General features: G+C 43.5%; 1 protein-coding gene across 3 annotated transcripts in view; it reads left to right on the top strand.

Annotated features, from left to right (window-relative positions):
* Window positions 1-18,622, top strand: part of ERICH6B (glutamate rich 6B) — a 74,446-nt gene that overhangs the window by 39,272 nt on the left and 16,552 nt on the right. For all 3 annotated transcript variants that reach the window (NM_182542.3, XM_017020418.2, XM_011534965.3), the window contains 4 exons: window positions 1,538-1,626; window positions 8,017-8,153; window positions 12,680-12,741; window positions 14,942-15,099. In NM_182542.3, coding sequence (NP_872348.2) covers window positions 1,538-1,626; window positions 8,017-8,153; window positions 12,680-12,741; window positions 14,942-15,099 — 446 coding nt within the window. The remainder of the gene's footprint in view (window positions 1-1,537; window positions 1,627-8,016; window positions 8,154-12,679; window positions 12,742-14,941; window positions 15,100-18,622) is intronic.

The following is an 18,622-nucleotide window of genomic DNA, read 5'->3' as shown; positions in this document are numbered from 1 at the left end:
GTTTTTTTTAAAATGTCCCTGGTCATTTCCATGGCAGACAGTTCGGGAACACATAGTGTTTTTAGAATCAAGCTGAGCATGCTCTTGCCTTTACCCTGTTGTGGGTACCCCAGTGGGGGTGGCATTGTGTGCACCTGTGGGAAGTGATGGAAGAATTGCCAGGGAATTCTGGAAGCATGGGGCCCACCTCATACGCGGCAAGTCTGTCAGGCACAAGCCAAGGCTGCAGAAGAAGGTTTGCAAGTAGAGAGGCCCCAGGACAGTGTGGGTAAACGCAGCCCCAGCCCAGTAAAATTCTCCATCCCAGGAGGAGCCCAAAGGAGTCAGAGTTTTTGCTACGGAGCCAAAATTGGGAAGAAGAACAAAAGTAATGTGTAGAGATCACAAAGAACATCCCATCTCTGTCCCCAAAGGCATAAGAAGGACACAAAATCAAACAGGATATCAGTCTAGGGCCAACCTGGCAGGGTTCCCAGGCTCTCCAGAGGGGCTAGCTGGAAAGGGCTGGTGTCATCAGAAGCTGAGACAATCAGCCACCATCATTTTCCTGGGGGCCCAATTATCATGCCAGAGCCACTTCCTCCTAGTTCTTCTCTCAGAATCACCTTCCCAGGAGTATGGAAGAGGGCTCAAGCTGTACTGATCAATTCCACAATTCAGCTTGCACCCAGGCTCCCCGGAGGCTCTAAGCCACTCTCCTGGCCCCGAGAGTCACCAGCCTGCAGCTGACCGTTTTAGGAACAAGGGCATTCACTGTCTCTGGGAGACATTCTCCATCCAACTCACTGGCTCGGGGATTCATCTCTTATGCTCTGATTAGTAATTATGAATCATACGCAATTCTAGAAATTGGCAAATTTTGACAAGCCTGGTGGAAGACAGATATATTTCTTGAAATTTCCAAGTGAAAATCACACTCGGAATGAGTCTCCCTCGGAACAAAATCTAAAGTCCTTCCCACAGCCTACAAGGTCCTTTGAAAGCTGGCCCCCGCCCACCACGTGCCCACCTACTCCTCCTTCCCTCCCTCACTCGCCCGACTCCTCTCTGACCTCCCCTCGGGATGTGCAACTTCATGTCTGCTCTACTGTGAGCATACCATAGGGTTCCCCCTGCCATGTGTCAAACATGCCCCTCCCACACTCACCTCAGGGCCTTTGCACCTAGTCCTCTGCCGGAATGTGCGGCAAATGTTCATTCTGCCTGCGTGGCCTTCTGCCTGCGCATTCCTTACTTCACTCAGGACTCATTCAAAGACCACTTTGTCAGACTGACCCTCACCAGCCACCAGGAACATGCACTTGCTTTCTTAAGTCAGCTACTGAGACTGACCCTCTTATTCCTATTTTGTTAGTATCCCCAAGTTGAGTTTTAGGTCATGTGATTAACCTATTTAACATCTCATTGATGATGTATGCATTTTTTGGAAGGGCAAAGGTAAATACCATCAATCTATTTCTATTCTTTTTAAATTTTTTATGTTTTTGGTTTTCTTTCCACATGCCCTTCCTTTCGACGCTCCTTCCAAAATCGAAAGTCCTGGAGTTTGCTTCTAAAGAGAACTTTTGGGATGGTATAACAGATGAGTCCATTGACAAGCTGGAAGTGGAAGATTTAGATGAAAACGTAAGTTGGATAAAAACTTGAGACCCCCCCCCCAGCTTCCTCCAAATGTAGGGTGGCCCAAGCCTAGCCCAGGCAAGCTGGCTGAGGTCTTGGGTTCTGAGGACCTGGGTTTTCTTTTTGCTTCATATATCCCAGACTGGGTGTTAGAGAAGACAGCAACCCAGAAACTCCAACAAGCACAGACAGAAAAGCCCCAAGGAAAGCCTACTCCCTCTATGTAGATGGGGCAACCTGGCAAGACAGAAAACTCCAGATGCTAACCTCTCCACTCCAGGCAGCCACCACAGCAAATAGCAGTGGTGTTTCTCTCCCATCTCTGCAGGCCTGTGACCACCACCACCCTGCAGAGAGACACAGAACCAGCCCTGGAAATTCAAAAGGGTGCTCTCCCCAGCTGTTCCCAATCACCAGAGGGGAGATGAGATGGGGAGTCATCATGGTTTCAATAAGCCTTACATCCACTGGATGTTTTCTTGTCTTTAAGACAAAATTTGTGTTATGATTTTGTAAATATGCCACATGAATGTTTTGCCTATGGGGGTAGACTAGTGGCTCGAATTTCCTGCATCAACTTCCTCTAGGGCTGACACTTCATGCTGATTCTGAGGGAAACATCATTATTCATTGTGTTCTCGATTGCTAAGAAGACTTCTCAGATTGTAGGTACTGACTACAATCCTAAAAATGAAATCTTGTGTCTCTGGAACCCAAAGTTAAGCAGATATATGTTCCTAAATTTATAAAAGAAAATGCAAAAAACTAAATATTTCATTTTGTAAATGTTTTTAATTGAGAAATTTTCTGGTCTCAGTTCATATTTAGTCCTAAATTCTATACTTGCCTCTCTACAGCACCGTATTACTAAGATTTACTGAAATACTGCAATGAAGGGAGGAAAAAAAATGACATAAATTTAGATTTACTGCTTTGGATTTACAAAGGCAGGAAAGTAAACTCAGGCATTTTGGAAAGATTATTCTACTAGAGTTGAAACCTGAAGGAATTGTTTTAGTTAGACACAAATTATTCAGAAATCTTCAAGGCTCCTGTCCATTGATGTTTTGCTATATCAGGTGGCACTGAATTCTCAGGTGACAGACACATCTTCCATGTGTGTGTTCTGGAAGGACATGGCAGATTTGGGAGCATTCCAGAGTTTTCCTTGGGACAGGTGGGCTGAGCAGGGGAGCTCTCATCACAAGCACCGTGCCATTCCAGGACTTTGCTACTAAAGGATTTTAGGCAAGAATGTGACACCATTAGACTTGTTTTTAATTTCTTTAAGTACTTCGATTCAAACTACCTAAATTGTCTAGCTTTTACACTGTGAAGCTACCAGCTGCACACCATTTTAAAATATTGAAGTAGGAAAGAAGGCTATGAAATAAATGTCTCAAGCCTCCAGTTCCTTAATGAAATAACTGCTGTATACTGCTATTTATGTATCCTGGAAATTTTAACGCATATACACATATACATATATTTTAAAACACATGCATATCCACAAATGGAATCATGATGTACATTCTGTTCAATAACTTACTTTTCCCTTAATAACATATTTTGGAAAGCTTTGGTATTCCATTACATCTTGTACCATAATTTAACTAGCACCCTGTCAATGGATGTTTAAGTTGTTTCCAGTCTTGTATTGCGTGTGTGTGTGTACATATAAATATATATGTATTCAATGCAATGAATGGTACATATATTATTATTACATACAAATGCAAGTGTATGTAAAGAATAAATTTCTAGCAGTTGATGCTGGAACCAGAGCTATCTGCATCCTTAACTCAAAAAGCACTGACAAATTTCCCTACCAGTAAGTTGTACCATTTTCCTATTCCCACCGAGAGGGCATGAGAATGCCTCCTCCATCATATCCTCGACCACCAAGGTCATAATTCTGGCCCATCTGATAGGGTGGAAATAGCATCTTATTGTTGGTTTTTGCATCTCCTCCATTATGAAAGGTGCCGGGCATTTTCACAATTATTGGACATTTGTGTCTCTCTGTGACTGGCCAGTTGGTGTTGTCTTCTCTTCTACCATGTTGCTTATTTCTCTTTCTTTCTGATTTGTGAGGGTTTTTAATATATGAAAGACCTTAATTCTTTTTCTGACATACATGTAAATTTGTTTCCAGTTTGTATTTTGTTTTCCAACCTTCTTCTTGGTATTTTCCATGACAGGGTCATTTTTTATGTGCAGGTAGTCTCATGTATTAGTATTTTCTTTTCTGATTACTAAGTATTGTTTCATGTGTAGAGAGGTCTTTTCACTCCTCAAAAGAGTTTTTATAATTCATTTACGTGTTCTTCTAGCTCTCTAAGGGATCTCTTTAAAACTATGTGGACTTTATTTGGGGGAAACAATATGGCGTAGGAGATCTAGCCAAAGCCCCCAACAATACTGAGTCCTTTCTCCAAGGAAAGGATCAAATTTGCATTTTTAAAGGTCACTCTGGTGGCTTTGTGGATGATGAATTGGAGGGGAGAGGCTGAGGGCAGGAAGATTAGTAATATGTAGTGGTACAGATGAACACATGGGAAAGCCTGGCAGCTCAGGGCAGTGCCCAGCACAGCTGCCATGACATGGTACAGATTTCTACTCTAGAGGCTGGAAAGCTGAAGAGGACAAGAAGGGTACATTTGTAGGGTGAGGTAGAAAGTTCTATTTGGTACACACTGAGTGTTAAGTTTCTATGAGATATCCAGATAAAGTTCAATTGAAAACCAGAAATATACAATCTAGGTCTCCTGGGAGAAAGCTCTTGGCTAAAGATTTTTATTTGGAATCTGTATTAGTTTGCTAAGCCCTGTTGTTAACAAAGTGCCACCTTTGAGTGGCTTGAACAACAAAATTTACTATATCATAGTTCTGGAGACTCAAAATCTGAAATCAAGGTGTTGGCACAGTTGGTTCCTTGTGAGGGCTGTGAGGGAAGGATATGGCCCAGGTATCTCTCCATGACTTGCAGAGGACCATCTTCTCCTACATCTGTTCACCCCATTCTCCCTCCATGCATGTCTCTATGTCCACATTTCCCCTGGCTGTAAAGACACCAGTCATACTGGATTAGAGCCCACCCTGAGGACCTCATTTCAACTTGAGTACCTCTGTGAAGAACCTATCTCCAAACGATCACAGTCTAAGGGAGACTTCACAGACTTCATTGCAGTCTAAGGTATTGAACTTCAACATATGAATTTGGGTGGCAGGGAAGCAGGGAAATACAATTCAACCATAATAGAATCCTTAGCAAACAGTTGAAGCCTTAGACGGAGAGAGGATCACAAGACATTTTTTTGTCTGACTACTGCAGGTAGACAATACCCCCTGTCCCCCAACTCATAAAAACATTCCAGCATTAGCTGGTGTTTACACATGAGCCTAGGAGCTTTCTTGGTTTGCAGTTAGTGTGCAGAATAGTTTTTGGTAAGCAAGGAGGAATCCAAAAAAAAAAATGGTTGGAGGGAATGATGCCATATCTTCTTATCTAAATGCCATAGACAGAAATAGGACCCCTATGATTAGGGTGTAAAGACTAGTCACTTACGAAAACTAGTCATGATACACATTGTGAAACTCTAGACACAGCAGTGCTACTCCAGGGTCCAGGTGACAAAGTATGTCACAGGGCTGAGGAGTCCTTTCCTCCTGACATCTATGCCACTCTGTTCCCCAAGCATTGAATGCTCAGGGTGCTGTGGCAGCACATATGGCACAGACACTGCATTCCCAGGATAGGCAGTGATGCAGCTTGGCAAAGCAGCACGTCTCCAAGCAACATGGTAGGCAGCAGATATGGACAAGTAGGGACAGAGCAGGAGGAGAAGAATGGAGTGAATGCCACACGGAACCTGCAGCTGCAGTGGAGCGAATGCCACATGGAACCTGCAGCTGCAGTGGAGTGAATGCCACACGGCACCTGCAGCTGCAATGGAGTGAATGCCATATGGAACCTGCAGCTGCAATGGAGCGAATGCCACACGGCACCTGCAGCTGCAATGGAGTGAGTGCCATATGGAACCTGCAGCTGCAATGGAGCGAATGCCATATGGAACCTGCAGCTGCAATGGAGTGAATGTCACACGGAACCTGCAGCTGCAATGGGGCAAATACCATATGGAACCTGCAGCTGCAATGGGGCAAAAAGCCACATGGAACCTGCGGCTGCAATGGGGTGAATGCCACACAGAACCTGCGGCTGCAAGACTTGTTTAAGTAAACTTCTGAGGCACATTTTGAGAGACTACCAGAAACCAGAGGGGTACAAGCCAAGGAGAGGAAGCTAAAGCCCTCCTATTTGGAGGGGGTCTATCAACCTATAGTTCAGTTATTCTGACAACTTGACTCATTGCTATTTTTAATTTACTATCACGTTTGTTTCATTTTTTTCTTGTAAAGGAAGGGTCTCACTATGTTGCCCAGGCTGGTCTCAAACTCCTGGGCTCAAGTGATCCACCCGCCTCAGCCTCCCAAATTGCTGGGATTACAGGTGTGAGCCACCATGCCCAGCCTTCATTTTTTATTTCAGTGATACACTTATGCATCACAAACCTTGCTGTGAAAATTCTTTTGGTTCCAAGAACCAGATATTAACCCAGGAGAGGTCTCTGGGCATGGGAGACCTCATCAGTGAGGTCCCCAATACACCTACCATGATGATAGGGATAGTTCCACTCTGTAGGCTAGGCAAACAAATGGAATAAACCCCATAAGACGTCACATATGCTGGCTGCATAGAGTGGGGTGGCACAGTTTAGAGAACCTCAGTTAGACCCACCCAGGTGGTCGGCCATCCAGCAGACCACAACAGACATTCTGTTTTCTGGAGAACAGAACATAAAATGCAAACAGAATGGGGATAGATCATTGGCCTAGGCAAACAGAAAGTCACTTCATCCCAAAGGAGGGATTGTCAACAATGAGGAATTTAGAGGCAGGAATATGGGCAGCAAAGGCCTTCACCTCAACCTGTCCTGAAGCACTGACTCAAGAAATAGAGACAGACAGGGCTCAGAGGCTAGGAATCAGGCAAGTCGGACCTAAAGCACCCCAGCTTTCTCCCAACCTAGAAACACTGGCCAGCCATAAGCCATAAACTTGTATCTGTCCCAGATCATGTGAAACTTCGGATATGTTGGTCTTTCACTTGCTGTAGGAAGATAGTGAGTTAATGGTATATTTTCCATGATCATACATTGAACAACAGCAATCTCAACCTGTTGGTAAGCAAAGAACAGGGAACATGACCGATCCCTGGCTGTCCTAAGAAGCCAGCTTCACTTTCCATCAAAAGGGATCCAAAACACAAACTCTTGTGAGGACCCACCTATGGGTCAATCCTGGTCAGCAGCACAGACATGGAAAAGAATGATCAAACTGGCCAAATAAAAAGGCAGCTTGTGGACGAGTGCTGTGGCACACACCTGTAGTTCCAGCACTTTGGGAGCCTGATGCAGGCAGATCACTTGAGGCCAGGAGTTCAAGACCAGCCTGGCCAACATGGTGAAATCCCATCTCTACTAAAGATACAAAAATTAGCTGGGCATGGTGGCACGTGCCTGTGATCCCAGCTACTCAGGAGGCTGAGGCATGAGAATCACTTGAACCCGGGAGGCGGAGGTTGCAGTGAGCCCTGATTGTGCCACTGCACTCCAGCCTGGGCAACAGAGTGAAACTCCATCTTAAAAAAAAAAAGGCACCTTGTAACATCATTACTTTGGAAGAATCTTTAAAAGCAGAACTGCCCAATACAGTGATGCACAAGGTGCTATGCTACTTTTCTGAAGACTCATTCTTCACATTGAATAAATAAATCACCATTGGGAGCTTGGCCATTTGTAGAATGCAGAAAACTTGTTACGCTCTTAAAGCATGGAAGCATTTTTACATTCCATAGCCATCTCCACATTTGAAAAAAGAAGATAATTGTATGTTCTCCAAAGATTTTTTGGCATGTTGATGTTTAAAAAAAAATTTTAAGGAAATTGAGGAACAAGAAGAGGATATGATGATAATGGAAATACTCTTTAAAAGAATTCTTGCTAACCATCTTATGGGTCCCGTTTTCTTTTTCCTTTTGTTTTTTTATCTTCAACTTTTAAATTCAGGGTACAGGATGTGCAAGTTTGTTACACAGGTAAACGTGTGCCATGGTGGTTTGCTGCACAGATCAGCCCATCACCTAGGTATTAAGCCCAGCATCCATTAGCTATCCTTTCTGTTGCTCTCCCTCCCCCTGCCCCTGGTTCCCATTTTTGTATTTTTAGAATAATATGTTGAAGTGTCACACAGTACCTTTGAGAGTCAGAAAAGTGATTAACTAACAAATCATTAATTTCCATTTTCTGAATATTTCATTCTTTGATCCTTTTGTAGTTTTTGAACAGCTCCTATCAGACAGTATTTAAAACAATAATCAAAGAAATGGCTGCTCACAATGAACTGGAAGAGGATTTTGACATTCCCCTAACTAAGCTACTGGAAAGTGAAAACAGATGGAAACTGGTAATTATGTAAGTAACTGGTGAGGCCAAGTGATTGGTCAGTGGATTTGGGTATGCCAGAGGTGGCAGCAGGGAAAGTGTAAACTGAGCCATCAACAAAAAAGAGCAAGTCAGGACCAGACAGGTTCCCTGAGTCAAGGAGCAGGAACAGGCCAAGCACAGGGAAAGGGTGAGATCCAGGGGTCAGATGGGCAGAATGATCCAGCTGCCAGACCAAAATCAAACTCAAGAGCAAGGATATTGCAAGCATGGGAGGTACAGGATAAGATCAAGGCAGATGGTGACAGAGGCTGGAAATTCAGGGTAAGAAAAGGCTTGCAGGGACCATGAACTTGTACAAAAGTCTAGGGAGCAAAGTTCAGACCCCTGGCACTTAAGGAGAAGACACTGGGGAATCAAGACCTGGGGCATCTGCCCACCAAATTCCCTGGCTTCACGCTAGGTGAGCTAATGCTTTTCCATGCATCCTGAAGGAGGGAGAGCCTTGAGCTTCACTGACCTGGGGTCATGGCCAGGGCCCCTGTAAGGTTATTGTAGACCTGTGTCACTGGCATCAGGTCTTTCTAGCTGGCAAGGCCCCAGGTCACAAACTGTTCCAGCCATTTGTACACTGTATTAGTTCATTTTCATGCTGCTGATAAAAACCCAAGACTGGGCAATTTACAAAAGAAAGATATTTAATGGACTTACAGTTCCATGTGACTGAGGAGGCCTCACAATCATGGCAGAAGGTGAAAGGCACATCTTACTTGGTGGTAGACAAGTGAAGACAGCTTTTTCAGGGAAACTCCTCCTTATAATAACCATCAGATCTCATGAGACTTACTCACTATTACGAGAACAGAACTGGAAAGACCTGCCCCCATGATTCAATTACCTCCCACTGGGTCCCTCTCACAACACGTGGGAATTCAAGATGAGATTTGGGTGGGAACACAGCCAAACCACATCATCCCACCACCAGCCCCTCTCAGTCTCATATCCTCACATTTCAAAACCAATCATGCCTTCCCAACAGTCCCCCAAAGTCTTAACTCATTTCAGCATTAATTCAAAAGTTTACAGTCCGAAGTCTCATCTGAGACAAGGCAAGTCCCTTCTGCCTATGAGCCTGTAAAATCAAAAGCAAGTTAGTTACTTCCTAGATACAGTGGGCGTACAGGCATTGGATGAATACAGCTGTTCTAACTGAGAGAAATTGGCCAAAACGAAGGGGCTACAGGCCCCATGAAAGTCCAAAATCCAATAGGACAGTCATTAAACCCTAAAGTTCCAAAATAATCTTCTTTAACTCCATGTCTCACATCCAGGTCATGCTAATGCAAGAGGTGCGTTCCCATGGTCTTGGGCAGCTCTGCCCCTGTGGCTTTGCAGGGTATAGCCTCCCTCCCAGATGCTTTCATGAGCTGGCATTGAGTGTCTAAGGCTTTTCCAAATGTACAGTGCAAGCTGTCAGTGGATCCACCATTCTGGGGTCTGGAGGACGGTGGCCCTCTTCTCATAGCTCCATTAGGTGGTGCCCCAGTAGGGACTCTGTGTGAGGGATCTGACCCCACATTTCCCATCCACACTGCACTAGCAGAGATTCTCCATGAGGACCCCGCCCCTACAGCAAACTTCTGCCTAGGCATCCAGATGTTTCCATACATCCTCTGAAATCTAGGCAGAGGTTCCCAAACCCCAATTCTTGACTTCTGTGCACTCACAGGCTCAACATCATGTGGTAGCTGCCAAGGCTTGGGGTTTACACCCTCTGAAGCCAAGGCCCAAGCTCTATGTTGGCCCCTTTCAGCTATGGCTGGAGCAGCTGGTATGCAAGGCACCAAGTCCCCTAGGCCGCACACAACACAGGGACCCTGGGCCTGGCCCATGAAACCATTTCTTCCTCCTAGGCCTTCAGGCCTGTGATGGGAGGGGCTGCTGTGAAGACCTCTGACACCCTGGAGACATTCTCCCCATTGTCTTGGGGATTAACATTCAGCTCCTCGTTACTTATGCAAATTTCTGCAGCTGGCTTGATTTTCTTCTCAGAAAATAGGATTTTCTTTTCTATTGCATTGTCAGGCTGCAAGTTTTCTGATATTTTATGCTCTGCTTCCCTTAGTAAACTGAATGCCTTTAACAGCACCCAAGTCACCTCTTGAATGCTTTGCTGCTTAGAAATTTCTTCCACCAGCTACACTAAATCATCTCCCTCAAGTTCAAAGTTTCACAAATCTCTAGGGCAGGGGCAAAAATGCTGCCAGTCTCTTTGCTAGAACATAAAAGGCTCACCTTTGCTCCAGTTCCCAACAAGTTCCTCATTTCCATCTGAGACCACCTCAGCCTGGACTTTTTTGTCAGCATTTTGGGCAAAGCCATTCAACAAGTCTCTAGGAAGTTCCAAACTTTCCCGTATTTTCCTGTCTTCTTCTGAGGCCTCCAAACTGTTCCAACTCCTGCCTGTTACCTAGTTCCAAAGTCACTTCCGCATTTTCAGGTATCTTTGAGCAGCACCCCACTCTACTGGTACAAATTTACTGTATTAGTCTGTTTTCACACTGCTGATAAAGACATGCCCAAGACTGGGCAATTTACAAAAGAAAGAGATTTAGTGGACTTACAGTTCCACATGGCTGGGGAGGCCTCAGAATCATGGTGGAAGGTGAAAAGCACATCTCACATGGTGGCAGACAAGAGAAGAGAGCTTGTACAGAGAAATTCAATAACATTCAGATCTCATGAGACTTTTTCACTATCACAAGAACAGCATGGAAAAGATGCCCCCATGGTTCAGTTACCTCCCACCAGGTTCCTCTCACCACACATGGGAATTCAAGATAAGATTTGGGTGGCAAGACAGTCAAACTATATCATACATACACCCAGCCTGTGGTGCAGGCATGCTCTCAGAATGGAAGCCTGCTCTTTCCTTTATCCACTCTCAGAAACCTGGAGAGCCAGGTATGAGTTTGTGCCCCCATGGGTCTGTTGCAGACTCTCCAGCAGTGGCACCAGGGAGAGGCTGTGTGAAACAAGGTGCCCTACCTAATCACGTGGGCAAGTTCAGGTGTTCACAAAAGTCAGGAAGAGATTGACTTCCACTGTGGACTCAGTAGAGGCATGGGGCAAGAGACCCCCAGGGCTTCTCTGGGAAATGGGAAGGCAAAACACAAAGAACTCCCAAGCTTTTGGATCAGCAAAAAAAAAACACCAAATAATATCTCTATACGTTATCCCACTGCCTCTGTGCCATTTTCTCCCTCTCTTCCCATTTAGACAGTATCAAAGGCTGATTCTAACCTAATTGCATTCAACAGATATTTCATGTGCACCTACTATGTGCTAATTTAGGCTCTAGGGATACAGTAGAGTGCACCCCAGTCTCTGGTATTGAAGAGCCGCCTGATGGGGATTCCACTCGCTTGCAAAGGTGGGCAAAAAACAAGAGACGAACAGCCAGTCTTCCCAAAAGGGCCTTGGGTGCCTCTGGCTAGATCCCCTCACTGGAGTTTAACTGTTATCTGTGTTTGGTATCCTGCTCTGAGCATAAAGGATAGGCCCCCACTCCACCCATTCCTTGGTCCTTATTTTTTCACAGGTGCCAATAGGCTAGGTAACTGCTTCAATTCCATTAAAAGTCCTTGCATTATAAGTGAATAACATTTGGTACAAATGGGCCATGGACTCATTCTCAAATTTCCCTATTGCTTCTAGGGTACGAATAAGGGAACCATTGCTCTGTGCTAGGTAACAGTGCAGCCCTTTCCAGCAAAGGATGTTTGCTTCCTGGAGTTACTCTGGGCTAAATTAATATGCCCTCTTCAAGGAATCTGATCTAAGGATTTAAAATCTGCAATGGCAAAGGCCTCCTTTTCAGATCCAATTAAGCCTGGGAAGCTTACTCTTTCTGGCACATTCCCTTTCAAAGGGGCTCTGATCTGAGAACTAGAAAACACAGCTGCCCTGGAGAGCACACTTATTTGGAAGGAAAACAGTCCACACCACTGAAACGCCAGGATGACTCACTCTGTGTGTTAACATGAGAGGGAGAAAAGGGCTTGATCATGTTGAAGAGCTGTGACTCGTGTGGCTTTCATGATAAGTCCTTTTGAGTAAGGCTATTTGAAATTGTCCTACTAAATGCAAAGGGGTTTCAGGTGGTTCTGGGTTTCACTGGGATATAGACAAGCTGCAGAAAATCAAATCCATCTGTGTGAGTTAATAATAGGGCCATACTTGCATTTGGACCTCCCTGCTCTGTCAGCTGCCCCCAAGATTACCCTAGTTGAATTCGTTTCGAAGGGTTTAGGGTTCAGCTGTATGCCCTGGTTGTGGGTCAGACCATATGAGGGAAGCACTAAATGGATATCATGCACCATCCCTTTACTCCTGGGCATTGACTCGAAGAAAGCTGGCCTAGAAAGCAAAGCCATTGGCCCCATTTCCACCTGCGAAAGAGACTCTGCAGGCTCCAGTACTGTCTGCACTGTGTGTGATGGCATGTATGCGTGAACTTAGTCTTGGCTTCTAAAGATGATCCACTTTCCTTTTAGGCTGAAGAAAAATTATGAAAAGTTCAAGGAAACAATCTTACGGATTAAGAGGAGACGTGAAGGTAGGCACCACTCCACCATTTTCCACCACGTGCTGGCTCTCCTGTCTGCATCCCACCGCCTCTCCCCTTCTGCATGTACTGTAAAGAAGGTGGAAGGGCTCATTCACTCACTTCAGTGCCTACAGGGCTGATGTGGTCCTGGCTGCCAGGGATGAAATACCGAGCATGGCAGGCACAGTCTAGGGCCCCAGTGAGTTTCTTTCTTGGTGGCAGGGGCAGGTGGGGGATCTGAACACAGAGCGAGTCACCTTGGCATTTCAGTGGTGTGGACTGTCTTACTTCCCAATAAGGATGCTCCCCAGGGCAGCCGTGTTTTCTGGTTCTCAGATCAGAGCTCCTTTGAAAGAGAATGCTCCAGAAAGAGTGAGCTTCTCAGGTTTCATTGGTCTATTCTTGGAAGGATAGATAAGAAAGTAGGGAATTACCATATAGAATGGTTAGGCCCTGTGATGGGAAGGGGACACTGTGGGACCACACAGTAAGGGATCTAACACAGATTTGGGGGAGTGGGGTACTCCAGGAAAGGAATATTAATGCAAAAATTGGAAAACAAATAGCTCCTTTACCAAGAGACCAAAGGCATTTGGTGTCCAGCTATTAAGATTTGCAAATCATGGAAGTTACCAGCTTCATGGATCTAATCATGGAAGGCTTCAGTGAAGGGACTAAGCTATCTTCATTCAAAAACTCATACTACAACACGAAGTATCTTCCAGGTGACTGGACCCAATTAACGTGAAAATGATAGCCATATTCATGGGAGACATAGCACTAATCAATCATGGTACTTTTTCTCGCTGAGCCTTGTCTCTGCCTGATTCCCTCTCAATAGAGTACACTTACCCCCAGTACCAATTCATGCCCCTGACCTAACTCTTAAAGAATAGCTGCTGCAGGCCCTGCCTGCCTCTCCTGAATCCTGTGTCACCTCTAACCCATCCCCACTCCAGCCTCCAACCACACAGTGCTTATGCTGGGACTCCTCCTTTGCATGCTACAGATTTACCTTCCATTGGAGGTGGAAATCTTCTCAGCTTCAAAGCCCGGTTAAGTTCCCTCCCATGAGCTCTCATGGAAGCCTGTATTGACCTCAATCATGGGATGCACGGCGCTCTCCTAACTGACATCCCCTTAAGTAGTGAGCTGGGGCTCCTCACCCCCACCAAGAGCATGTTGGCTGATACCACAGCTAGAAGCCCCTCACCATGGCTCCAGCCACTCAGCTCCCACTGTTAAGCACTTATCAAAAGCCACTAGGCTTGTTTTTCAGTTGTCCTTACCAGTTTAGTTCCAAAATTCAATTGTCATAAAAATGGACAAAATGAATATAAAAAGAAACTTGTTGCTATGAAATGAAAACCAAGTTGAATGCTTTAAAAAACAAAACTCAGCCAGGTGTGGTGCCTCATGCCCATAATCCCAACACTTTGGGCAGCTGAGACGGGATAATCCTTTCAGGCCAGGAGTTTGAGACAAGCCTGGCCAACATGGCAAAACCTCATCTCTACATTAGCCAGGTGTGGTGGCACACGCCTGTAATCCCAGCTGAGGCACAAGAATTGCTTGAACCCAGGAGGCAGAGGTTGCAGTGAGCCAGGGTCATGCCACTGCATTCTAGCCTGGGCGACAGAGCAAGATTCTGTCTCAGTCAATCAGTCAATCAGTCATTGGTGTGATTTGAGCAAAAATGATCACAGAGCCCAATCATCAGACCTGTACATTGTCTTACCTTTTAAATGACATGTTAATATACACTTCCATTTTACCTTTTTTTGATGACTCCCTGACTTTCGCCTGTTTTTTCAATTAGCAGCCACACCATTCACTGTGTGAGCATTCCTCTCATTACGTTGTAGTTGGCATTTTCATTGCATCACCCACTCATACCCACACATCTGTACAGGTTGACCATCACTGTCATATCAGGCATCCAGCACTGGGCTGACACGCACTAGGCACTTGATAAGTACATGTTGAGTGAATGTGTGACCAAACAGAGTGAGCTGGAATGTCAGCCCCAACACTTCTCTCTTCAAAGGCCTTAATCTTCCCACTACCCGACAGCCTTCCTCACTGGGGAAAAATGGCAGATCTCCCAAACCCTCAAACTCCCTTTGGCACCTTGAGAGAGACAGATCTAAGTTTCCTTTCTCTTTCCCACCAAAATCTTATTCAATGCAATCGTTGAATTGAATGGCAGCTCAAAAGTTAACAGAGATGACCAGTTTCACATTTCATTTAATGAGCAAACCAACACCTGAGAAGCCTGAGACAGAAGAAATCCAAAAGCCTCAACGTGTTGTTCATCATAGGAAGAAATTAGAACGAGATAAGGAATGGATACAGAAGAAGACAGTGGTAAGAGGGACAGTACATTGCTGTTTTTTACTTTGCACAGGATTTTTTTTGGCTCTGGTGAGGTGTGCATACACCACCAGAGAGCTGTAAGGAACAACACACAATGTAAACACAAAAATGCATCCAAGATATCAGAGGTACACCTGAGTGTGTGGGTTGCTGGCAGACTGACTAGGATTTTTACTAGGATTTATTGAGTCTTCTGCCTGCAGGGTCTCTATTAGGCAATTGGATGGGTTTGAGAGTGGAATAAAGGAAATGTATATTATATAGGCCCCAGCCAGACACTGCGGCATGCATCTGTAGTCCCAGCTGCTTAGGAGGGTGAGGAGGGAGGATCACTTGAGCCCAGGAGTTCGAGGCTGCAGTGTGCTATGATCACGCCTGTAAATAGCCACTGTACTCTAGTAGCCTAGGCAACATAGCAAGACCCCGCCTCTAAAAAGAAAAAGATATATATAGATCCATCCCCCTAACAAATTAGAATCCATATCAAAAATCAATCACACAGTGAATGGATAAATAAGCTATGGTACATTCATACAATTAAATATTATTCTGCATTAAAAAGAAATAAGCAATTAAGCCATGAAAAGTCATGGAGGAAACTTAAACACATATTACCAAGTGAAAGAAACCAATCTGAAAAGGTTACATATTATGATACCTACTATATGACATTCTGGAAAAGACAAAGCTATGGAGACAGTAAAAAGATCAGCAGTTGCTAGGGCGTGGGGGCAAGAAAGGATAAAAAGGTGAAACACAGGAGTTTTAGGGCAGTTAAACTCTTCCATATGATTCCACAATGTTGGATACATGTCATTGTACATTCGTCCAAATCCACAGAATGTGCAACATCAAGAGAGAACCCTAATGTAAACTCTGGGCTGTGGGTGATAATGGTTTGTCAGTGTAGGTTCACCAATTATAACAAATGTACCACTCTCAGGTGGGGGGGTGTTGATGGTTGGGGAGGCTGTGCATATATGGGAAACTGTACTTTCCACTCAATTTTTCCATGACCTGCTCTAAAAAATGAAGCCTATAAAAAATCTATCTCATGGTAGTATTCATAAAGACTGATACTATTATACAAAGATCTGAGTGAAAACTAGCCTCAAAATATTAGAGTCATTCATTCCATGCAAATGAACACCAAAAGCGAGAAGGAGTAGCTATTCTTATGTCAGACAAAACAAACTTTAAAGCAATAGCAGTTTAGAAAGACAAAGAGGAAGATTATATAATGATAAAAGGCCTTGTCCAACAGGAAAATATCACAATCCTAAATATATATGCACCTAACATTGGAGCTCCCAAATTTATCAAACAATTACTACTGGACCTAAGAAATGAGATAGACACCAACACAATACTCCACTGACAGCACTAGACAGGTCATCAAGACAAGAAGTCAACAAAGAAACAATGGATTTAAACTATACCTTGGAACAAATGGACTTAACAGATATTTACAGAACATTCTACCCAACACTGCAGAATATACTTTCTATTCATCAGTGCATGGAACTTTCTCCAAGACAGACCATATGATAAGCCACAAAACAAGTCCCAATAAATTTAAGAAAATTGAAATTATATAAGCACTCTCTCAGACCACAGTGGAATAAAACTGGAAATCAACTCCAAAAGGAATACTCAAAACCATGCAAATATATGGAAATTAAATAACCTGCTCCTGAATGATTATTGGGTCAACAATGAAATCATGATGGAAATTTAAAAATTTTTAGAACTGAATGACAATAGTGACACAACCTAACGAAACCTCTGGGATACAGCAAAGGTAGCTAAGAGGAAAGTTAGTGGCCCTAAATGCCTACATCAAAAAGTCTGAAAGAGCACAAATAGACAATCTAAGGTCACACCTCAAGGAACTAGAGAAACAAGAACTAATCAAATTCAAACCAAGCAGAAGAAAAGAAATAACCAAGATCAGAGCAGAACTAAATGAAATTGAAACAAAAAGAAAGAAAAATGAAACAAAAAGTTGGTTCTTTGAAAAGATAAATAAAATTGATAGACCCTCAGCAAGATTAACCAAGAAAAGAAGAGAGAAAATCCAAATAAATTCAATTAGAAACAAAACGGGAGATATTACAACTGACACCACAGAAATACAGAAGATCATTCAAGGCTACTATGAACACTTTTACATGCATAAACTAGAAGACCTAGAGGAGACAGACAAATTCCTGGCAATATACAATCCTCCTAGCTTAAATCAGGAAGAATTAGATACCCTGAACAGACCAATAACAAGCAGTGAGATTGAAATGGTAATTTTAAAAATTACTAACAAAAAAAATTCTACCAGACATTCAAAGAAGAATTGGTACCAATCCTATTGACACTATTCCACAGGGAAACAAAGAGGGAATCCTCCCTTAATCATTCTGTGAAGCCAGTGTCACCCTAATACCAAAACCAGGAAAGGACATACTGAAAAGAGAAAACTACACACCAATATCCCTGGTGAACATAGATGTAAAAATCCTTAACAAAATACTAACTAACCGAATCCAATAACATATCAAAAAGACAATCCACCACAATCAAGTGGGTTTCATACCAGGGATGCAGGAATGGTTTACCATATCCAAGTCAATAAATGTGATTCACAACATAAACGAATTAAAAACAAAAATCACATGATCATCTCAATAGACACAGAAAAAGCACTCAACAAAATCCAGAATCCCTTTATAATTAAAACTCTCAGCAAAATTGGCATACCAGGGACATACCTCAATGTAGTAAAAGCCATCTATGACAAATCCACAGCCAACATAATACTGAATGGGGAAAGGTTGAAAGCATTCCCTCTGAGAACTGGAACAAGACAAGGATGCCCACTCTCACCACTTCTCCTCAACATAGTACTGGAAGGCCTAGCCAAAGCAATCAGACAAGAGAAAGAAAGGGCATCCAAATTGGTGAAGAGGAAGCCAAACTGTCACTGTTTGCTGATGATACGATTGTATGCCTAGAAAACCCTAAAGACTCCTCCAGAAAGCTCCTAGAACTGATAAATTAATCCAGCAAAGTTTCCAGATACAAAATTAGTGTACACAAATCAGTAGCTCTCCTCTACACCAACAGTGACCAAGCTGAGAATCAAATCAAGATCTCAACTCTTTTTACAATAGCTGCAAAAAATAAAATAAAATACATAGGAATATATCTGACCAAGGAGGTAAAAGATCTCTACAAGGAAAACCACAAAACACTGCTGAAAGAAATGATAGACAACACAAACAAATGGAAACACATCCCATGCTCATGGATGGGTAGAATCAATATTGTGAAAATGACCATAGTGCCAAAAGCAATCTAGAAATTCAATGCAATTCCCATCAAAATACCACCATCATTCTTCACAGAACTAGAAAAAAAAAAATCCTAAAATTCACATGGAATGAAAAAAGAGCCCACATAGCCAAAGCAAGACTAAGCAAAAAGAACAAATCTGGAGGCATCACATTACCTGATTTCAAAC

Source organism: Homo sapiens, chromosome 13 (genome assembly GCF_000001405.40).
Source record: "Homo sapiens chromosome 13, GRCh38.p14 Primary Assembly".
In the NCBI taxonomy this organism is placed as follows: Eukaryota; Metazoa; Chordata; class Mammalia; order Primates; family Hominidae; genus Homo; species Homo sapiens.
The sequence above is the reverse complement of the archived record's forward strand: the minus strand, read 5'-3'. Positions and strand labels throughout refer to the sequence as shown.